The sequence below is a fragment of the Homo sapiens genome, chromosome 16 (genome assembly GCF_000001405.40).
Source record: "Homo sapiens chromosome 16, GRCh38.p14 Primary Assembly".
Lineage (NCBI taxonomy): Eukaryota > Metazoa > Chordata > Mammalia > Primates > Hominidae > Homo > Homo sapiens.
Window position 1 is genome coordinate 8,873,534 of NC_000016.10, and position 21,442 is coordinate 8,894,975.

The following is a 21,442-nucleotide window of genomic DNA, read 5'->3' on the forward strand; positions in this document are numbered from 1 at the left end:
GGCTAATTTTTTTCAATTATTTTTAGTAGAAACCGGGTTTTCTATGTTGCCCATGCTGGTCTCGAACTCCTGAGCTCAAGCAATCCACCTGCCTCTCTGCCTCCCAAAAGTGCTGGGATTACAGGCCTGAGCCACCGCGCCCGGCCTCGTGTACGAGTCTTTGTAGGGACAAGTTTTCATTTCTCTTGGGTCAACACTAGGGTTGGAGTGGCATTTATCACAGCTAGGGGCAGTAGAATCCATACGAAGTTGTGAAATATGTATTCATGTGTAGTGTGTAAAGATTTTACTATAAATTGCTTTTTATTTTTCTTTTATGTTACCATTGGGGCATTACATTGAACTTTTTTTTTTTTTTCCCGGAGATGGAGTCTTGCTGTTGTCACACAGGCTGGAGTGCAGTGGTGCGATCTCAGCTCACTGCAACCTCCACCTCCTGGGTTCAAGCGGTTCTCCTGCCTCAGCCTCCCGTGTAGCTGGGATTACAGGTGCCCGCCACCACACCGGGCTAATTTTTGTGTTTTTAGTACAGACAGGAGGGTTTCACCATGTTGGCCAGGCTGGACTGGAACTCTTGAGCTCAAGTGATCTGCCCACCCTGGCCTCCTCCCAAAGTGCTGGGATTCCAGGTGTGAGCCACTGTGCCCGGCCTTGAATTTTTTTTTTGAGACGAAGTCTCACTCTGTTGCCCAAGCTGGAGTGCAGTGGCACAATCTCAGCTCACTGCAAACTTCACCTCCTGGGGTTCAAGTGATCTCCCTTCCGAATAGCTGGGATTACAGGCACATGCCACCACGCCTGGCTAATTTTTGTATTTTTAGTAGAGAGGGGGTTTCACCATGTTGGCCAGGCTGGTCTCAAACTCCTGACCTCAAGTGATCCACCCGTCTTGGCCTCCCAAAGTGCTGGGATTACAGGCATGAGGTACTGTGCCCAGCCTGAACTTTCTCTTAACATGTGTGTTAAGAAACATAAATTTCTATGGATTTCATCCCGGGATGGCAAAGGGCCCACTGCAAATGTTTCTTAGAGAACGGGGATCTGGTGGCTGGTAGGATGAGAAGTAAAGCTCAGAGTTTATGCCAGAAAACACCCGAGAGGCCCAGGCTTGGCTGGAGCTCTTCCTGTTGCAGAAGGTGGGGAGCAGGCATAGGCAATGGGTGGGATGGGGCTGGGGCTGGGGGGCACTGCCTCTCTCTGATTCCACGTGGTCAAACCTGCTGACCCTCTTTCCCTTTGCGGCTTCTGGGGTATTCACCCCACCCTGCTCACCCTGCTGACAAGGTCAGACATATATTCTGCACCGTTTCCTGTTTCTTTCTTTCTTTTTTATTTTATTTTTTTTTTGAGACGGAGTCTCACTCTGTTGCCCAGGCTGGAGTGCAGTGTTGCGATCTCAGCTCACTGCAAGCTCCACCTCCCGGGTTCACACCATTCTCCTGCCTCAGCCCCCCGAGGAGCTGGAACTACAGGCACCCGCCACCAAGCCTGGCTAATTTTTTGTATTTTTAGTAGAGACGGGGTTTCACGATGTTTGCCAGGATGGTCTCGATCTCCTGACCTCATGATCCACCCACCTCAGCCTCCCAAAGTGTTGGGATTACAGGCGTGAGCCACCGCGCCCGGCCTTTTTTTTTCTTTTTTTTTTTGGAGATAGGGTCTTGCTTTGTTGCCCAGGCTGGAGTGCAGTGGCGTGATCACCGCTCACTGCAGCCTCTACCTCCAGGTTTAAGCAGTCCTCCCGCTCAGCCTCCCAAGTAGCTGGGACCACAGGCATGCACCACCACACCTGGCTAATTATTTGTATTTTTATTATTTGTAGAAACAGGGTCTCACATTATTGCCCAGGCTGGTCTGGAACTCCTGGGCTCAAGCAATCCTCCTGCCTTGGCTTCCCAAAGTGCTAGAATTACAGGCAGCAGCCACCGTGCCCAGCCTCCTGATTCTATCTTATTCTTTGATCTGATTTTTTTTTTTTTTTTGAGGCGGAGTCTCACTGTATCGCCCAGGCTAGAGTGCAATGGCACAATCTCAGCTCACTGCAACCTCTGCCTCCCAGGTTCAAGGAATTCTGCCTTAGTCTTCCAGGCAGTTGGGATTACAGGTGCCTGCCGCCACGCCCAGCTAATTTTCGTATTTTTAGTAGACACGAGGTTTCACCATGTTGGTCAGGTTGGCCTCAAACCCCTAACCCCAGGTGATCCACCCGCCTCGGCTTCCCAGAGTGCTGGGATTACAGGTGTGAGCCACCGTGCCTGGCCTCTTTGATCCTTTTGAGAAGCCACTTTACATCTTCTGAAAGGTATTTGGGTGAGTTGGATGAGGAGGGATCCCATTCAGCTGTGCTGGGCTAAGAGCACAGGCTCTGGGGACAGGTGAGGAGGTGGGGGTCTGACTCTGCCACTGGGTTCCTTGACCAGGTCGCTTCTCTGCTCCGCACCTCCGTTTCTTCATCTGTAAAATGGAGACAATGTCAGCACCCACCTTGATAGTAAAGCTGTTGTGTTGTGGAAGTGGAAGAGCGTGTATAGAATGCTTAGTGGGCAGCCTAGCACATGGTAAGCAATGATTAATGCTGTTACTTGATTTTCAAAACACTTCTTGCTGAAGTCTGGGTGGGGCCCCGGTAATGACAATAGCCTCAAAGTTCCAGGCCCTTGTGGAGTGCCAGGCACATGTTAAAGCATGGTACAGATAATTTTTTTTAAATTTTTAAATTTTGATTATTATAAATACATAATAGTTCTGTATATTTGTGGGGTATATGTTATTTTTGTTTTTGTTTGATACAGAGTCTCACCCTGCCGCCCAAGCTGGAGTGCAGTGGCGCAGTCGCAGCTCACTATACCCTCCACCTCCCTGGTTCAAGTGATTCTCCCACTAATTTTTGTATTTTTAGTAGAGATGGGGTTTCACCACGTTGGCCAAGCTGGTCTCAAACTCCTTACCTCAGGTGATCTGCCTGCCTTGTCCTCCCAAAGTGCTGGGATTGCAGGTGTGAGCCACCGCACCTGGCCAAGGATCTCATTCTTCTATGGCTGAATAATATTCCATCATGTTTAGGTACTGCATTTTCTCTACCCATTCATCCACTGATGAATGACATTTAAATTTATTACTTTTTGTTTGTTTGTTTGTTTGTTTTTGAGACAGAGTTTCACTCTTGTTGTCCAGGCTGGAGTGCAGTGGCAGGATCTCGGCTCACTGCAACCTCCGCCTCCCAAGTTGAAGCGATTCTCCTGCCTCAGCCTCCCAAGTAGCTGGGATTACAGGCATCTGCCACCACGCCCGGCTAATTTTTGTATTTTTAGTAGAGATGAGGGTTCACCATGTTGGCCAGGCTGGTCTCGAACTCCTGACCTCAGGTGACCCACCCACCTCAGCCTCCCAAAGTGCTGGGATTACAGGTGTGAGCCACGACGCCCAGCCTTAGATTGCTTCTTAATCTTGGCTGTTGTGAATGGTGCTGCGGGGAACGTGGGCAGGAGAGTTATTGTCCCATTCTACAGATGGGGAAATGAGGCTCGGATCAGCTCCCCCCAAACCATGCAGCAATTGCGGGCCAGGCTAGGACTGGAACCTGGGCCCCTGTGCTGCCCCACTGCGCCCCCCACAAGCCGTGTAGATGAAGCCCCCTCCCCAGGAAGCATCCTTCTGCCAGGGGTCTCAGAGAAGAGGGGGCTGGGACCTCAGGCTCTGGGCACACTTGCTTCCCCTGTACAGTGTCCATGCTCTCTGTTAGGGCCACTTCCTTCTGGACAGTCACCTCCTGTCTTTGGCCCAATCCCCGCCACTGTTCCTCTGCACAGTAGACTCGGGGGTCCTGTCAGAACAGCAAGTGGATCTTGGCACTTTCTTTTTTTTTTTTTTTTCCAAGACGGAGTCTTGCCGAGATTGCGCCACTGCACTCCAGCCTGGGTGACAGAGCAAGACTCCATCTCAAGAAAAAAAAAAAAAAGAAGAATGTGTCTGGCATCTGTTTCCTTCACTAAAATGTGGGCTTCTTGGGGTAAGTAAGCACCTCATCTGCCTTGCTCAGTTTTGTGTGCCTGGCATATATTAGGTGCTCAATAAATGCACGTTAAAGAATGAGGGCGGGCCGGGCACAGTGGCTCACGCCTGTAATTCCAGCATATTGGGAGGCCAAGATAGGAGGATCACTTGAGGTTAGGCGTTCGAGACCAGCCTGGCCAACATGGTGAAACCCCATCTCTACCAAAATACACAAATTTAGCCAGGCGTGATGGTGCATGGCTGTAGTCCCAGCTACTCAGGAGGCTGAGGCAGGAGAATCGCTTGAACCTGGGAGGTGGCGGTTGCAGTGAGCTGAGATCGCCCCACTGCACTCCAGTCTGGGTGACAAGAACAAGACTGTTTCTAAAAAAGAAAAAAAAAATGCTGCTTGACACACAGACACTCCACACACCCGACACACACATCTCCCACACAAATACACGCAGGTGGAAGCACACACAACCACATTCTCCCATCACATCCACACCCTGAGGCTTTCTCAATCTGGAGATAGCCCTTCCTCCTCCACCAGGCAGACCTCCAGGCTCTGAGGGAACGGGACGCAGGGATGGATAGATGGACAGACGGCAGCTGCTGGGGAAGAAATGGCCCTGAAACACCCTCTTCCCTTCAGCTGGGGGTCCTCCATCAGTTCCTGGGAACGAGAATTCCTCCCCCTACTTTTCTCTCCCTGAGTAAGCAATGTGGCTGGAGTAGGGAGGGTGGTGCCTACAGCAGCCCCTATACCTCATTCACCCCCATCCTGCCCGACCCATCCACTCCCCACCACAAGCTGGCAGGTAAGGCAGTCTGGGAGGTTAGCAGAACCGGAAATTCAACCCAGAGAGGTTAGGGGATGCCCCAGTATGACCCAGCAAGTCCCCACCCTAGGACTCCAGGGTCCACATGCAGATGAGATATATGGGACCCCACTGCTGAGCCAGAGTGAGGAAGGCAGGGTTCTGGGGGCAGCCAGCCCCTCCCCAGGCAGGAACAAGCCACTGCCCCATCTCCAGGCCCCTCTGTAATCCAGGCCCCTCTGTAACCCAACCCCCCACACGGATTGTGCAATAATTACAGGTACAGCTCATTCCTCCAATTCCTTCTTCCTTATTATCTCATCGCCTCTGCTCAAGCTGGGCCCTTCTGGGAAAAGAAGATGAGTAGGAAGGAAAAAATGTCCCATCTCCTTTTCCCATAAACAGCCCTGGCCACAGAGTCTTCCTCATTGCACAAAAGAAAGCGTAGCCCAGAGACGGGAGTCCGGTGCCCTAAATCACATAGCAGGAAAGGCCCCACACGGGACTCCCCAGGTCCCCAGCTGCCAAAACTCCAGGCTCATTGCATTCCTGGGTGGCCTGCCCCCTGCCCTGGCCTTTGTGACTCTGCTAATTGAGTTGATTGTCATGGTTCTTGTTAATATGTTAATATTAATTGCCAACTTACTGCAAGCTTTCCATGTGCCAAGTATGGAGGTAAGTGCTTCACGTGGATAACTTTCTTTTTTTTTTTTTTTTTGAGACAGAGTCTCACTGTCACCCAGGCTGGAGTGGAGTGGTGCAATCTCGGCTCACTGCAGTCTCCGCCTCCTGGGTTTAAGCGATTCTCCTGCCTCAGCCTCCCAAGTAGATGGGATTACAGGTGCATGCCACCACACCCGGCTAATTTTTGTACTTTTAGTAGAAATGGGGTTTCACCATGTTGATCAGGCTGATCTCGAACTCCTGACCTCAAGTGATCTTCATGCCTGGGCCTCCCAAAGTGTTGGATTACAAGGCTGAGCCACTGCGCCCGACCCATGGATTTCTTTCATTCTTCAGTCATTTAAGCAATCTTTTTTTCTTGTTCTTTTCTTTTTTCTTTGAGACTGAGTTTTGCTCTGTTGCCCAGGCCAGAGTGCAATCTCAGCTCACTGCAACCTCCTCCTTCTCCTGCCTCAGCCTCCCAAGTAGCTGGGATTACAGCTGTGCACCACCACACCCAGGTGATCTTTGTATTTTTGTAGAGACAGGGTTTCGCCATGTTGGCCAGGCTGGTCTCGAACTCCTGACCTCAGGTGATCTGTCTGCCTCGACCTCCCAAAGTGCTGGGATTACAGGGGTGAGCCACCGTGCCCAGCTCATAACACTCTCAGCAGAAGGTATTATTTTTGCAGGGGAGGAAACTGAGGCTCACCGAGGAGAAGACACCTGTTCAGAGTCATACAGCTCGGAGAGAGCCCACAGTTTGACCAACTTCATCCTCCTCTGTGCCAGGCCTTATTTGGAGGATGAAGAGGTGTTTTTTTTTTGTTTTGTTTTGTTTTTTTATTGAGACGGAGTCTCGCTCTGTCGCCCAGGCTGGAGTGCAGTGGCGCGATCTCGGCTCACTGCAAGCTCCGCCTCCCGGGTTCACGCCATTCTCCTGGCTCAGCCTCCCGAGTAGCTGGGACTACAGGCGCCCGCCACCACGCCCGGCTAATTTTTTCTATTTTTTAGTAGAGACGGGGTTTCACCTGGTTAGCCAGGATGGTCTCGATCTCCTGACCTCGTGATCCGCCCGCCTCGGCCTTCCAAAGTGCTGGGATTACAAGCGTGAGACACCGCGCCCGGCCTGGGGGATGAAGAGGTTTAAAAAAAAACACAAAAATCCAGTCTTCCAGAAGCCCTGACCCATGCAGCTTCCTGGTGGGGCACTGTGCCCTGGGTGCTGAGGGCCTGGGGTCTAGTTCAGCTCTCCCGCAGCCGTGCTGTGTGACCTCGGCTGGCTTTGCCACCTTTTCCGGCCGGGCCTGTGGGTTATGGGGTGGGAGAGAGGAGTCCTCGCCCCATGGCAGGGTTTGGGGCACAGAACCTGAAGAGGGAGAAATTGAGGCGGACTCATGGAAGCCCGGTGCTGCCCCCTGGTGGCGATGGCCGGGAAGGGCAGCGCCAGAGAGCATCCCCCCATCAGCTCCCTCATCCATTCACCCTCAAGGCTTCCCCAGTTCAGACATCACGCCTGGGGTCCCGACGTGTGTTAGGGGGACCATCGCTTCAAAATCCCCAGGGAAGGAGGCGGTCCCTAACCCTTCCCAAAATGTGTAACTTCAAGTCTGTACAGGAAGCCCAGGCCTGGAGCAGTGGCTCACGCCTGTAATCCCAGCACTTTGAGAGGCTGAGGCGGGCAGATCACCTGAGGTTGGGAGTTTGAGACCAGCCTGACCAACATGGAGAAACCCCATCTCTACTAAAAATACAAAATGGGCCCAGTGTGGTGACACATGCCTGTAATCCCAGCTACTTGGGAGGCTGAGGGAGGAGAATTGCTTGAACCCGGGAAGCAGAGGTTGCCACGAGCCGAGATCATGCCATTGCGCTCCAGCCTGGGCAACAAGAGCAAAACTCCGCCTCAAAAAAAAAAAAGGATCTGGGGTAGCATCAGATTGGTGTCCCACAGCTGCATCTAATCCTGACTTTGCCCTTCCTGGCTGTATCCTTGTGTAAAGCCCTTGGCCTGCCATTGGCGCAGAGGATGAGGTCTATAATTGGGAGTTCCTCTTCTGAGCCATTGAAGCCATTTGCATTTTACAATAATAATGCTGGCTTCATTATGAAGGGAAAATGAAGCAGGCAAAAAAAAAGAATGCTGGCTTCATGGACCACATCAAGAGCAGACCCCTCACCTGGGTTATGTCATCTGATTTCACAACAACCCTATGAGCTTCTTATTACCCCTATTTTACAGATGAGGCAGGGAGGGGATGGAGGTTTAAAGAAAGGTGGGGGCCAGGCATGGTGGCTCACACCTGCGATCCCAGCACTTTGGGAGGCCGAGGCAAGAGGATCACATGAGGCCAGGAGTTCAAGACCAACCTGGGCAATATAGTGAGACCCCATCTCTACTAAAAATAAGAAAAAATTAGCCAGGCATGGTGGTAAGCACCTGTAGTCCCAGCTACTCCAGAGGCTAAGGTGAGGAGGAAGACTTGAGCCCAGGAATTTGAGGGTACAGTGAGCTATGATTACGCCACTGCACTCTGGCCTGGGCCACAGAGCAAGACCCTGTCTCAAGGCAAAAAGAAAAAAGTGGGACCTTGCCCAAGCTCATAAAGCTGAATAAGCAGGAGGCAGACTGGACTTTTGAGCAGGTAAACACACACACATTTACACCATGAATATGTGTGGACATATGAACCTATACATACCTACATTTCTTCTTTCTTTTTTTAGATGGAGTTTCACTCTTCTTGCCCAGGCTGGAGTGCAGTGGCGCGATCTGGGCTCACTGCAAACTCTGCCTCCAGGTTCAAGTGATTCTTCTGCCTTAGCCTCCTGAGTAGCTGGGATTACAGACACGTGCCACCACGCCCGGCTAATTTTTGTATTTTTAGTAGAGACAGGGTTTCACCATGTTGGCCTGGCTGGTCTCAAACTCCTGAGCTCAAGTGATCTGCCTGCCTCGGCCTCCCAAAGTGCTGGGATTACAGGCGTGAGCCACCGTGCCCAGCCACATTCCTAAGAGGACATGAACATGCTACAATTAGATCTTCACATACATCTGGTTAGCTCCCTCAGGATAAATTCCTCCAAACAGAATGGCTGGGCTCTAACAGGACTATATTTCAGACCCTTGATCAGTTTCCCCACCCAGCCGTCAGCAATCTCCCACCCACCCACCATGTGGGGCCGTGGAAACATGGAGCAGGGCCATCTCCAAAGGCTGTTCAAGCCATGCCCACGGGAAGCCCCTGCCCTCCTCCTGCAGGAAGTGAGGATGAGGCCACAGTGAAGGCACACATCACAATGGCTGTTCTACTGGAGCCAGGCCCAGCAAGAGGTGGACAGGTGTGGCCCCAGCTCCTCACACCTCCTGGCAACCGGGCCTCCTCATGAGAATTCCTAGAAATAAGCACATGAGCACTCGGAGCTCAGAACACGGTGCTGCCCAGGCACTGTTGCTGGGACAGAGGCCCTCCAGAGCACCAGGATGGAATCATCCCCGGGTGAGGGCTCCCCTCATTCAGGGGCCAGGGCTGGCAGGGACCGGGAAGAAGTCTACTCTGGAGACCGCAGGAAGCAGAGAGGAGACGAGGGTCCCTGTGCTGAGCTGGGGGCTGCCCTCAGTCCTCACCACCCTTCCCCGAAATCCTACTGTCCCCACCAATCAGGGGGCCACGGAACCCAATAGAGACCATTGGGCAGTGGGGCTTTCAACGTGCTGTACTCTCCCTTAAAGTGTTGCAAGGAAGTCGCCAAATGAGACTAATGACTCCCCCACATCAGGTATGACGCTCCTGCCCGTGGCCAGAGACAACCGAGGCTGAGCGTGGAGGCAGCAGGAGGCAGAGGCTGTCCTGGCCCTGGGGCTGCCTGGCCATGTTGGTGTGGAATTGGGAAAGTTACCGAATCTTTCAGAATCTGTTTTCCAAGTGATTCTCCTGCCTCGGCATCCCGAGTAGCTGGGATTACAGGCGTGCGCCACTGTGCCCGGCTAATTTTTGTATTTGTAGTTGAGATGGGGTTTCACCATGTTGGCCAGACTGGTCTCGAACTCCTGATCTCGGGTGCTCTGCTGCCTTGGCCTCCCAAAGTGTTGGGATTACAGGTGTGAGCCACTGCATCCGGGCCTAAGTTTTGAGCTAAGTCCCTGGCATACAGTGAGCCCACTGATCTGAGGGTGCTTTTCTTTCTCTCTCCTAAAGATCCTTATCCTGCTGGTCCCCCTCCTCCCTATGGTCCTCCTCACCAGATGTACTTTGAAGGCCCCCAAGTTGTTCAGGTAGGTGAGTGCCCCTGCCGGCCTTCCCTTGTCGCTTTCTGTCCCCTGCTCGGAGCTGCCCAGAATATTCTCTTTCCTGACCTCTGACCAAGACTCTGCCCAAACAGCACATCCTCTGGCAAGTTCTCCTCCCCTGACCCCGTAGCTGTGGGACCCCGCAGCTGGCCAGCTGCCCCTGCTCCCATGCTGGCTGTGTTGCCAGTGGCCACCGAAGCATCTCTCTCCAGAGGGAAATCACTGGTGGATGGGGCCTGTATACAGTAGGCACTCAGGAAATTTTTATGGAGTAGACTCCCGTTCTCTACTCTGCAAACACACCACCCCTCAGGCCACAGAGGAGGGGAAGGCCGAGCCCCCCAGGTGGGGCCTGGGTTTTGGGAATTTAAACAAATTTTCCAAGGAATTCTCAGGCAGTCTCCAGATTCAGAACTGCTGGGTTGGATAGATTCCTGGAGGGCACAGTGAAGATGACGTCACCATTGAAAAGCACCCTTTAGGTCAGGTGCGGTGGCTCAGGCCTGTAATCCCAGAACTTTGGGAGGCCAAGGCAGGTGGATCGCATGAGGTCAGGAGTTCAAGACCAGCTTGGCCAACATGGCAAAACCCCATCTCTACTAAAAATACAAAAATAAGCCGGGTGTGATGGCACATGTCTATAGTCCCAGCTACTCAGGAGGCTGAGGCAGGAGAATCGCTTGAACCCGGGAGGCGGAGGTTGCAGTGAGCTGAGATCGCACCACTGCACTCCAGCCTGGACGACAGAGTGAGACTCCGTCTCCAAAATAAAAAGAAAAAAGAAAAAAGCACCCTTAGAGCCCACTGGAAACCCCACTTCCAGCTAAGAACACTTCTTTCCTTAGTTTCCTCCAAACCGGGGTGGGGGAGCCACACCACACCCCCACATATCAGGTCCCCAGTCTCCAGATCCCAGCATCTCCCCATCTCAGGTGAGCACCGACAGCCCATGGGAATTGAGAAGCCACAGGGGTCCTGGCCCCGGGGGGTCCCACCTGCTTCCCGCTTCCCACTCCCACAGCTGTATGCCGGCATGTCCGTGGTGGGGACGTCCATGCCGGTGCAGGCCGTGTGTCCCTACTGTGGAAACCGCATCATCACGGTGACGACCTTTGTCCCGGGTGCCCTCACCTGGCTGCTGTGTACCACCCTCTTCCTGTTCGGGTGAGTGGCCGCCCCTCCGCCGCTGCAGAGGCCTGAGCATTGGTAGGGGTGGGTCCGGGTGGGTCCCTGCAGGGTAGGGGGAGCTTTCGGGGAAAATAGCAGGACCAAGCATAGGGGAGGCCAGTTGGGTGGGGCCATTACCTCCTTGAGAGGAGGCGGCAGCCCTCTGACCCAGGGACCTCCCATGAGAACAGCAGGGAGTGGAGGGGTGAGTGATGCCTACAAAGCAGCCAGCTTAGGACACCCACGGCAGCTGCTGCTGTCACCAGCAGCCAAGAGCTTGCGGGTTCAGGATGGCTCTTACCTCTCAGCTGTGGAGTTTTGAAACACACAGAGGGGCCAGGCGCGGTGACTCATGCCTGTAATCCCAGCACTTTGGGAGGCCGAGGTGGGTGCGTCACTTGAGGTCAGGAGTTATAGACCAGCCTGACCAATGTGCTGAAACCCTGTCTCTAACTCTATTAAAAATACAAAATTAGCCGGGTGTGGTGGCACGTGCCTGTAATCCCAGCTACTCAGGAGACTGAGGCAGGGGAGGCAGAGGTTGCAGTGAGCCAAGATCACGCCACTGCACTCCAGCCTGGGATACAGAGTGAGACTCTGTCTCAAACATACACACACACGCCCAGGCCCCTCCCAGACTCTGCCTGGGTCCCAGGTGCGTCCAGCGTACAGTGAGAGGTGGCCCCGCTCACGCCCAGCCTCCGCTCCGGGGCTGCAGGTACGTCCTGGGCTGCTGCTTCCTGGCATTCTGCATAAGGAGCCTAATGGACGTGAAGCACTCGTGTCCCGTGTGTCAGCGCGAGCTCTTCTACTACCACCGCCTGTGAGCCCCCAAGAAATAAATGCCAGGGGTGCCACCTGGGCACACCCGTGTCTATGTCCTTACCTTCTGCTCTGTCAGCCCAGGAGATTGGGTGGCCGCTGGTGCTCTGGGAGCCCACGTTGAGTGTGTGGGGGCCGCGCCGTCCTGTCCACCGTTCACCCTCTTTTGACTCCTTAGAGCCACAGTCCATAGTTCAGCCCCATCTTTCTGGGCTCCCTCCCATCAGCTCAAGCCTCTGCCTCTTTGGGAAAACTATCTCCCTGCAACTCCAGCCGGAAGGAGAGACCTGTTCTCCCTGATAGCCACATCCTCACCCACTGCATGCACCTCAACCCACAACCGGGCTTACTCTGGGCCCTGCCACTGCCTTCTTGACCAGTGGCTCCGTTGCTAAGTGCAACATCCTACGTGCACTTGCTCCTTCGCTCCTACCTGACTGGGTTCTCTGTAGCCCTTGGCACTCTCCCTCCCTTCCCCAAAGACCCCATCTCCTGGGCTGCAGCAGCTCTCCAGCCCCTGCTGGTGGGTTTGTCACTTGGCCAGTGCTCCTCAGGGTCTGGCCTTGGCTCCTCCTGTCACACCCGATGCTTCCGTCGCCAGCTCCTGCATCCCACCCACAACCTTCTCCCTAGGATGCTTGAGGCCCTGCAGAGCCAACAGGTCTCACAGTAACTCCCTCCTCTCTCTTCTCCTGGGCCTAGTAGCTGGGACAAGAGTGGGTGGCAGTGCCCCCTCCAGGGCAGCCCTTCAGTCCTGTCCTTCTTGCCCTGCAGTGATTCATTTCCTCTGCTTTATCCCCTCCTTGAAGGAGGCAGCAGCCCCGGGTTTCCCTATCGAGAGTCTCTCCTGCTCCTGCTGTTCTCCAGCAGCCAGTGGCCGGCACTGAGCCGGTGATTCTTGTGGGTGAGGATCTGGAATTGCTCGGACTATGCCCGACACCTGCCGACAAAGTGCCTCTCTCAGCCCAAGTCCACATGCTTCCCCTGGGGCCCCTTGAGGCCATCTGTGAGCTGGCTCCAGCTCCCCTGCCCACCCCAGCCAGATAGGACCGAGTGCCACTCCCTCACCACCCACCCGACCTCCCCAGGCTGCTCCCAGCAGCGTCCAGCCCTCCAATCAGCCCCTGCCCTGTCAGTCTGGTCACCCGCTCTCTGGTGTGTCACTTTCCCCAGGTGGTTTGTGAGGTCTTGGCTCGCCTCTGTATCCCAGGGCCTGGCGGGGACAGGCGGGTTATAGAAGCTAGGATGGGGCAAGTCTGCCCTGATCTGTCTGGCCTCCCACCAAGAGGTTTAACCCTTAAGACTCCCGTACAGCTGCAGCCTTACAGGACTCCCGGCAGAGCTGCTGTGGAGGAAGGTGGACATTAACAAGCCCCAAATAAGCTGATGAATAGGACCCCTTTCAGGGTCTGCCTGCAGACACGGTCAGGAGGGGGACGACGGGGTAGAGGAGAATCCAGTGTCACCACTAAAGGACTTAAATTTTGCAGAATAGGCTGGGCACGGTGACTCATGCCTGTAATCCCAGCACTTTGGGAGGCCAAGGTGGAAGGATTGCTTGAGTCCAGAAGTTCTAGACCAGCCCGGGCAACATAGCAAGACCTCGTTTCTACTGAAATGCGGGGCCGGGGCATGGTGATGAGTGCCTGTAGTCCCAGCTACCTGTGGGGCTGAGGTGGGAGGATTGCTTGAGCCTGGAAGGTCGAGGCTGCAGTGAGCCCTAACCATGCCACTGCACCCCAGCCTAGGTGAAAGGGTCTCAAAAAGTTAATAAATTTTGTAAAGTAGAAATATTGTTCTACTCGTCATGTTTTCAAATAAGATGAATTTCACAGAGGGGAGAAAAGAAGTAAGGGAAGAATTGGGGGAAGAAGTAATTGGGAGCTGGGGGCACGTGAAGCCGTCTTCACTAAAATGTGGCTGGGGGAGCTGTAAGGCTCACACCGATGGGGTATTGACCCATTATTGCCCCAACCTACAGATGCGGAAGCTGAGGCTGAGTAACTAGATCAGCGCTGGAGACATAGGTCTGTCCTCAGGGTTCAGCATCAGGGAGGAAGGCACAGAGGTGAGGGGTGCATGTGTGTGTGGCTGAAGGCCTGGAAGGAAGGGTGTGTGTTTATGTGTGTACGCGCATGTGTGTGGCTGAAGGCCTGGAAGAAAGGGTGTGTGAATGCATGTTTGTACGCGCGTGTGGCTGAAGGCCTGGAGGAGGGGGGTGTGTGTGTGTGTGGCTGAGGGTCTGGGTGTGTGTGTGTGCACGTCTGTGGCCAAAGGCCTAGAGGGATAGAAGGGAGCATTACCTGTCTTCCATCATGTGGTCTTCAGCAGGTAGAGGTTCCGGGAAGCCACAGGTCAGGCAACAGCCATCTTGGCCAAAGCCTGGCATGATGGGGCTGACAGGTCCTTAGGTCACACCAGCCCCGGGGAAGGACAAGTTCTGGGACAGGTTTCCCTGGAGTAAAATGCCCCAATGCCTGTGCCTTTGCCACCACCCAAAGGCCTGGCTAAATCGGGAGAACAACTTCCCGGTCCACACTAGCTGCAGGCCCCAGAGCCTTCATTTCCACTTCAGAGACTCAGCAAGATTTTTAGGGTTGGATGGTGAAGTTTCTGACACAAATTAGGCAGCTAGTACCTGGGAACCCCAGTAAGTCCCTGAAGACAAAGGAAGCAACCTCTCATTTGTAATAAATGAGGACACGGGCACCAGGTCAACATAGGGAGACAGAAAAGCCCCTGGTGGACGAGGCGGGTGGTCATCCATCCAGGATCTATCTCAAGGTGAGGCGTGAGGGTCTCACCTAGGACGAGGGCCCAGCCACCGGGCTTCCACCATCCAGAGGGAGAGATTTGATGGCTCTGCAGAGCAGCCAGGCTGTGGCAGGCGACAATCGGGGGCTGCTCGGTCTTGCTGGCAAGGCCCATCTACAGCCTGAACCCTCCATCTGCAGAGTTCAGCTGGAGCCTCTCGTTCTGATTCCACCCAGACTGTTGTCTTTCACTCGGATTCCCAGATGGCTCCAGAGACATGAGCGCCTGCAGTCCAGGGACAGTGTCCAACCACGGCCAGGCTCTGCTCACTCAGTGTGGACTGGCTGGGTGCCAGGTCTTCCTCAGTCACAGGAGAGCTTTCATCGGCCTGAGTCAGTCACCATTGTGCCTTCAGAGGTGGCCAGGTCCTTGGCATGGCTGCAAGCTTCTGCTATGACTCTATGGATCAGTCCCCAGGCCTTCTGGATGCAGACTGCCCCGTGTTAGGAAAACGTCACTTGCCAACTCTTAGAAATAGGACAATTCGTATAGAAAATCCAGGATTTTCAGCTTGGCGAGGTGGCTCACCCCTGTAATCTCAGCATTTTGGGAGGACAAGGCGAGAAGATCACTTGAGCCCAGGAGTTTGAGACCAGTCTGGGCAACCTACGGAGACCCTATCTCTACAAAAAATTAAAAAATTAGCCGGGCATGGTGGTAACACCTGTGCTGCCAGACAGTTGGGAGGCTGGGGCAGATAGATCGCTTGGGCCCAAGAGGTCAAAGGTGCAATGAGCCATGACTGCACAACTGCACTCCAGCCTTGGAGATGGGGTGAGACCCTATCTCAAAAAACTAAGACAAACAAAAATACACATTAAAAAAAAAAAAAAAGTCGAGGCTTCTCAAGTTCCGCTGTCTGAAGGTGTAGGTGCAGAGGAACTGGGGTCTTGAGAGGCTGCCAAGTGGGGCGGGACTTCATCTGTCCCTTGGCCCAGTCCCCTGGAATACCCCCAGACCCAAGCCTCGGGGTGTCTGCAGTCACTGCCTTAGACAACAGGACCTGAGCCACTGTTCTAAGCCTCTCGGTGTTCATGTGTCTGAGGCTTTGTCCCAGGGAAGCCTCAGGTTCTCCTATGCCAAGACCTTGCCGCAGGGCCAGGCTACGGCAGGGCCGGGGCTTCCTTCTCCTGCACCCCTTTCCCTGACCCCTTTCCACGCCCAGGGCCGGCCTCTTCCCCAGCTTCGGGGCCTGTCAGAGGGGCGGCCCACCACTGGCAGATGAGCTTGGCAAGTTGCTGAACCCTCATTTGAAACTGGGGACAGCCCCCATCCTACCCCGCATGGAGGGCTGAGCTAGGGCTACCTGGAACAGGGAGGTGAGGCGGGCAGCCAGTGGGGGTCTGAATGCCTGCTCCACACTGAGCAAGGCTCAAGCCCCCATGGCTCAGGGTTCTGGCCTACTTTGGGCCACCAGACGCCTCGCTGCTGACCTCTCAGGGCTGGCTCACTGTGCACAATGGTTATCACAAAGGGTTTCTTGCTACTGTCCCTCCTAATTAGCCGGAGGCAAGAGTCAGAACAGCCCCCACCCCACCTTCTCACAGGAGCCCAATGGGCAGGTGTGGCACTGGCACCAGCTCGTGGGCAGAGTTCGCTGGTGGCTGGTGGCCTTCCTCACAATGCCACCCATACCATTTCCCTACTGGAGTTCTCAGCTCAGCCAGGGCAGAAAGATGCGCCAGGTGCACGTGGCCTCGAGCCACGCCCTGTGGGATAAAGGCGTGGAGGGGCCATCAAGGCCAAGCTGGGAACCTTGAGCAGCTCCTGGACTAACCCTCACCACCAGGGAGGGGCTGGCCTTAACCACCTTTCTCTGCCTCCTCGCTGCAAAACCAGCTTTGCAGCAATGAGCTTCAAAGGGCTGAGTGATGCTGAGTACGGGTGGGGAAGGACAGGAGGTGCCAGTCTCTTACTCCTGGGCACTGGACTTCAAGGGTGGTCTGAATCCGTAACTTCTTCCCTCTCCCAAGTTGTCCACGTGCTGTGCAGGCACTGTGCTGTGAACCCCCAGATCCAGTCATTGACAGGTGGCAGCATGTAGGGGGTCAGTGACCCCTTGGAGCTGATGGGAGGGGGCCTCCCTTTGGAACCTGCAGTTTTGCTCACAGACCATTCATGGCCTCCAGCTCCCAGGCCTCACTCAGTTAAAGGCTGCGAAACGTAAGTCAGCAGAAGATGCACAGGCACCCATCTCCCCCAAAGCCAAGACGCAGGGATGGGGAAGTCTGTCCTTAACTGTTCTCACGCAGAAAACCAATGTCCCGAAGGCTTTAGGGAGTAGGCCATAAAGAACGCCCACTCCAACGCCTGTGCTTCACGCAGCACTCAACAGCCCTCGAGTTAGTCACTGTAACTCCCGAGGTGGGGAATGTTTTGTTAGAACTGCATACCCAGTAAGGAAGACATCAGCCACATGTGCAAATTAGAATAAAATTAAAATTCAACCCCCTCTGCCACTTAAGCCACATTTCAAGTGCTTTATAGCCACAGGTGGCCAGAAGCTCCACCGCGACAAAGTTCTGATGAACACGACTGGGTGAGGACAGGGTGGTAGCAAGGCTGGCCGGAAACACTACCCATTACTCCCTCACACAAAAGTCTTAGGGATGTAGTCCAATGGGGTTGGCAAGGTCTGGTTGTTATCTTGACTCCCCTCCTCCCCAGGGGACCTACCTACACCACTAGGAGGTAGTGACTCGGCTATCTAATCTGAAGCTCTCTTGGCCCAAGAGGCCCTTATAGCAAGCCATGAAGACAGATCATTTCCCTGCAATCCAGGGTTGGTAAACCTACAAAAGGGGTTTTTAAAAACAAAGCTTTGTGGGGACAGCCTCGCCACTCAATTGTTGTCTGTGGCTGCGTTCATGCTATGTTGGCAGAGCTGAGAGTCCCAACAGAGACCATCACACAATACCTACTCTGGCCTTTTACAGAAAGTTTACCAACTCTGACCCTAGCCTAAGCCCAAACCACAAGAGAGATGTCTTACTTACACACCTCACCTTAGTAATTCAAGGAACCTTCAGGTGCTATGGCTTTGAGACGGAGTCTCCCTCACGCTGTCACCCAGGCTGGAGTGCAGTGGCACGATCTCAGCTCACTGCAACCTCTGCCTCCTGGGTTCAAGTGATTCTCTGGCCTCAGCCTCCCGAGCAGCTGGGACTGCAGGTGTCTACCACCATGCCCGGCTAATTTTTGCGTTTTCAGTAGAGACAAGGTTTCACCATGCTGGCCAAGCTGGTCTTGAACTCCTGACCTCAAGTGATCCACCGATCTCAAGCCTCCCAAAGTGCTGGGATTACAGGTGTGAGCCACCGCATCCGGCCCAGGTGCTATAGGTTTTATCGCATTTGCTTTAACTGTGAAGGTGGTTTCAGAGTTAAGACTTTAAACTACTCACAATTTCCATCCCTGGCACCATAAACATTTGCCTCACAGCAAATGAGTGATGTTATGTATGACGCCAAATGTCCTTGCCGTCTGGTGAAAGAGAAGCTGGGTCAGGGCCTCCATCAGGAAGCGATGGTGTCTAGACGTGGCTTCTCGCCCTGTCAAGGCACCCACGTTGCAGGGGACTCTGCCAGGTCCCATAGTGTCTCCCTTGGGCTTTGCTCACAGCACGAGCCACCGCGCCTGGCTGCTCTTCTCATTTTGAAACAAGACTGCTTCAGCTCGCTGCTCTTGTGTGTGAGGGCGTGGGAAGGGCCACTGTGACCGCAGGCCCTTGCTGTCACGCAGTGGTTTTCAGGGCTCCCCGCTGTGAAGACTCCGAATGCTGTCAACAGATGGCATCCACACCCCACAGAGGGAGAGGACACAATAGTCCCAGGGGTTACAGTGAGGCCGGAGAAGGGGAGTTCATTTTTCTTTCTTTAAAATTTCAGCTTGTCTCCCCAGAACCAGTTTAACAAACTCAAACTCCTGACACTGTAACTGCGAGTGAGTGGAAAAGGGAACGCGGCAGATGACGGAAACATTACAACACGTTCTTTGGAAAAAGAGTCATTTAATACCTTAAGGGAGAGTAGGAACTTTCAGTTACCTAAGACTACAGCCAACCCCCAGCCCAGAACAAAAACAAGACACCTTAATGTTTGTTCAAAGACAAACCCACAGCGAACGGCTCTCGCACCCCTGCTCTAACTCCTCTTTCTGGGGGAGGAAGGAGGGAAGGGCCAGGTCCGCGGGGACCCTCACTCCCTGCTTTCTATCACACGGGTCACAAGGCAGCTCTCAGAGCAGAAGGCACACACACTGCAGTGGAAGTTGAGAAAGGAAGTCACTCCAAGGTACACACTGGCCCAAAGACCAGGAAACCGTGCCACGGAGCTGGAAGGCAAGGCCGATGGGACGGTGCAAGGACCACGCCCACGATAGCGCCTGCCGCCCCGAAGGGCCTCGTGACACATCAGGTCACATCTCCAGTCACCTTATTTGTACACAGTTCTCTCCTGGAAAACCTTTCATTTCTTAAGAGTAAATGTGACTAGTTAGAGGCTAAAAAAAAAAAAAAAAAAAAAAAGAAACAAGAGACCCTGCCCCCGCAAAACGGAATTAGAAGGAAAAGTACATCTCAGTGAAACCTTGTTACAAATGCCAAGGTTTCCCAGGCCTGTTTCCAGGGAGAGTAGAAATCTTCCTCCACTTCCACGTAACTCACTGAATTATAATTTTTATAGAAAATTTTATTCAACATACAACATTTTCCAGCAAAAAGGCAATATACAGGAAGAGTTGGTGTACACTGCTCCCACAGAAACAACCCAAAAAATACCGGAAAAGGATGAAAAATAAGAGTGATTTGCTGATTCTATTTTACTGCACTCAAAACTAGACACGCAGCTGGCATTAGCTCCAAAATAAAAGGAAACGGGGCTGGGACCGAAATAAAACTACACACAATGAATATCAACATCAGTGAAATTCACTTGCAGACTCACCCAACAAAAAGGAACCTCCTCCCAGTGGCAAATTGTACATGTTCATTCATTAAATATACAATTCATTTTTCCTTTTTTTTTCATTTTTAACTTTTTTACAAAGTCGACAGCTTACTAACCACTAGTGAGCATGCCCTCTTGCTAAAAGGCTTTCTTGTCGTCTGTTCCACTTTAACGAAATTCTATTTATAATCCTTTCACCTGCTCGTATGAACTGTTGAGATCGTAAGTCTGCCAAGGCAGCAGAGTAAACCTTAATTGAATTTAACAATGTTCTTGATTTAATAAAAAGACCCCCACAATGTCTGTCCGGACTGTATTCAGTGCATCCACTTTGCAAAGGGGCTGCAGACAGTAGTGGCTGACGAGGTGAGACAAGTTTATTAAAAAGCCCCCAGGCAGCTGGAGGAGGAGAACCCGAGGAAGGGCCGACAATGCACACAATGAAGGGAAGAGCGCTATTTATTAGGTTGTGAGTTTCTCTGTTTTGCCTTAACAGATGCACAAAAGGTCATTGAAAGTATAACTGAAGGAAATAGGTCAGACGAGCCTAAACACAAGACTTGCTAGCTGCAGGGCTGGTGCACGGGACCCCAGGAAGGCAGCCGAGCCACTCGTGCCCACTAGGGACAGCCCAGAGACCTTGAGCCAGGGACCCCCGATCCACTAACCTCTTCTCCCCCATTGCGCTGACAGTTGCCTTGCACTGTGGTTACCATAAAATAACTCTCATTGGCATCCAAGCTTTATAAAAACATCTTCATTTTGCTCAAAAAGGGCAGTCAATAGATACAGAGAAGCCAAACTGAACAGCCTCAATAAAATAAAATTAACACCAGCAGCGAATCCTCTTGCTGAAGACTTCGGCTAGAGGGCACGTGCACCAAAGTTCTAGGCTGTTAAGGGGCCACCCACACACCGTCCTCGCCTTGAACACACCAGCTTGGAAATCAGTTATGGATTTTAATGGCCTTTTCAAGGTAAGTGTAGCGACTCCTCTTTGGGGCTTTGTTGAAGTGGTCGAGCCCTAGCCAAGGCCGAGGATGAGACATATTACCTGGTGGGGATGAAGAAAAGCAAGTGAGGCCACAGAGCAGCCCTGGAACCCCTCAGCGGGGTGGTGGCCAGTGAGGCATGCATCCCTGTGGCTCCCCAAGGGGTAAGTTCGCAGGGAAGCCAGGACCTGAGCTACACGCCCACCTGGAGCTAAGGAGGCCCACACCCTGACTGCGCCTCAGAGCCACTGCCCTCACAACCCTGAGTCTCAATCACCCTGCACACATATCCAAGCTTCTCTCCTTGAAGATCTCACAGGTTACAAAGGATGTAAGGACCTGTTAAGAACTCGTAGGTTATGGAATGCTATTGCTCCTGGTTCCACAGGTCGGCCAGTGGAGAGAGAGGAGCTGGCACTTGACCCTGGGGCTGCCCCTCCCAGCCCCAGACCACTTGTTTCTTAGTCTGAAACCCACACCAGCCCCCGGGGGGGGGAGAACCCTTACCGGGCTGTGGCTCAAAGTCTTTCAAATTTACTTCATACTCGTCTTCATTTATGTACTGGTGTCGGCCCATCATTACAATTGCAAATTTAAACTAAAAGAAAAAAAATTAAAACTCCTCCGTTATTTCTGTATATCAGCAAAACTCACATCTCTGGCAAAAAAGCCTAGGCCGCTACGCTAGGCAAGGCTTGAGCCTATGGCCCGCCAAGCCCCCAGGAGGCCCCAGCTGCACACCTTCTCAAACTCCTTCTCCTGGATGTCCAGCAGGCTCTGGATTCGCTTCATCACTTCTCGAAAATGCTCGCCCTAGAATGGCAAAGGACATGTGCTCACACAGTCACTCCCAGCACCCCCAGGCCACGTCACGTGGCAGCCGCCAAAACCAACGCCTAACCCCAGCAGGAGCGCAGATTCGGCAACAGCGGC

At 53.3% G+C, this 21,442-nt stretch overlaps 2 protein-coding genes across 8 annotated transcripts in view, besides 9 other annotated features; one reads left to right on the top strand and one right to left on the bottom strand.

Annotated features, from left to right (window-relative positions):
- Positions 4,393 to 4,508: a silencer, noted in NCBI's record as "fragment chr16:8971783-8971898 (GRCh37/hg19 assembly coordinates)". NCBI's record gives its function as "represses an EF-1alpha promoter that drives an FKBP-Casp9 reporter gene in an ReSE screen in K562 erythroleukemia cells {active_cell/tissue: K562}" and the evidence as "EXISTENCE:reporter gene assay evidence [ECO:0000049][PMID:32094911]".
- Positions 6,618 to 6,907: an enhancer, noted in NCBI's record as "active region_10357". NCBI's record gives its function as "activates an Ori minimal core promoter by ATAC-STARR-seq in GM12878 lymphoblastoid cells {active_cell/tissue: GM12878}" and the evidence as "EXISTENCE:reporter gene assay evidence [ECO:0000049][PMID:35858748]".
- Positions 8,818 to 11,817, top strand: LITAFD (LITAF domain containing). Of its 2 annotated transcripts, none has more exons than NM_001395434.1 (4): positions 8,818 to 9,257; positions 9,677 to 9,753; positions 10,790 to 10,932; positions 11,654 to 11,817. In NM_001395434.1, the coding sequence occupies exons 3-4, from the start codon at positions 10,823 to 10,825 to the stop codon at positions 11,760 to 11,762; spliced, it is 219 nt and encodes a 72-aa protein (NP_001382363.1). In that variant the 5' UTR covers positions 8,818 to 9,257; positions 9,677 to 9,753; positions 10,790 to 10,822; the 3' UTR covers positions 11,763 to 11,817. The 2 variants fall into 2 exon arrangements, with proteins under 2 accessions (NP_001382363.1, NP_001382362.1); NM_001395433.1 differs by having other exon boundaries at positions 8,818 to 8,977.
- Positions 8,955 to 9,455: an enhancer, noted in NCBI's record as "H3K27ac hESC enhancer chr16:8976345-8976845 (GRCh37/hg19 assembly coordinates)". NCBI's record gives its function as "activates a minimal SCP1, AML or CMV promoter by ChIP-STARR-seq in primed H9 embryonic stem cells {active_cell/tissue: H9 hESC(primed)}" and the evidence as "EXISTENCE:reporter gene assay evidence [ECO:0000049][PMID:30033119]".
- Positions 12,801 to 12,940: a silencer, noted in NCBI's record as "silent region_7182". NCBI's record gives its function as "represses an Ori minimal core promoter by ATAC-STARR-seq in GM12878 lymphoblastoid cells {active_cell/tissue: GM12878}" and the evidence as "EXISTENCE:reporter gene assay evidence [ECO:0000049][PMID:35858748]".
- Positions 14,383 to 15,225: an enhancer, noted in NCBI's record as "H3K4me1 hESC enhancer chr16:8981773-8982615 (GRCh37/hg19 assembly coordinates)". NCBI's record gives its function as "activates a minimal SCP1, AML or CMV promoter by ChIP-STARR-seq in naive and primed H9 embryonic stem cells {active_cell/tissue: H9 hESC(naive and primed)}" and the evidence as "EXISTENCE:reporter gene assay evidence [ECO:0000049][PMID:30033119]".
- Positions 17,965 to 18,234: an enhancer, noted in NCBI's record as "active region_10358". NCBI's record gives its function as "activates an Ori minimal core promoter by ATAC-STARR-seq in GM12878 lymphoblastoid cells {active_cell/tissue: GM12878}" and the evidence as "EXISTENCE:reporter gene assay evidence [ECO:0000049][PMID:35858748]".
- Positions 18,295 to 18,444: an enhancer, noted in NCBI's record as "active region_10359". NCBI's record gives its function as "activates an Ori minimal core promoter by ATAC-STARR-seq in GM12878 lymphoblastoid cells {active_cell/tissue: GM12878}" and the evidence as "EXISTENCE:reporter gene assay evidence [ECO:0000049][PMID:35858748]".
- Positions 18,515 to 18,574: an enhancer, noted in NCBI's record as "active region_10360". NCBI's record gives its function as "activates an Ori minimal core promoter by ATAC-STARR-seq in GM12878 lymphoblastoid cells {active_cell/tissue: GM12878}" and the evidence as "EXISTENCE:reporter gene assay evidence [ECO:0000049][PMID:35858748]".
- Positions 18,564 to 21,442, bottom strand: part of USP7 (ubiquitin specific peptidase 7) — a 71,810-nt gene continuing 68,931 nt past the window's right edge. For all 6 annotated transcript variants that reach the window (NR_135826.2, NM_003470.3, NM_001321858.2 and 3 more), the window contains 3 exons: positions 21,251 to 21,322; positions 21,017 to 21,107; positions 18,564 to 20,571 (listed from right to left, as the gene is read on the bottom strand). Coding sequence is in view for 5 of the 6 variants with exons in the window: in NM_003470.3 (NP_003461.2) it covers positions 20,465 to 20,571; positions 21,017 to 21,107; positions 21,251 to 21,322 (270 nt within the window). In the remaining variant the exon portion in view is untranslated. The remainder of the gene's footprint in view (positions 20,572 to 21,016; positions 21,108 to 21,250; positions 21,323 to 21,442) is intronic.
- Positions 18,625 to 18,854: an enhancer, noted in NCBI's record as "active region_10361". NCBI's record gives its function as "activates an Ori minimal core promoter by ATAC-STARR-seq in GM12878 lymphoblastoid cells {active_cell/tissue: GM12878}" and the evidence as "EXISTENCE:reporter gene assay evidence [ECO:0000049][PMID:35858748]".

Coding starts and splice junctions, on each gene's coding strand:
- LITAFD (NM_001395434.1), top strand. CDS start 10,823: ATGCCGGTGCAGGCCGTGTGTCCCTACTGTGGAAACCGCATCATCACG. Junction 10,933..11,653: donor ACCACCCTCTTCCTGTTCGG/GTGAGTGGCCGC, acceptor CCGGGGCTGCAG/GTACGTCCTGGGCTGCTGCT.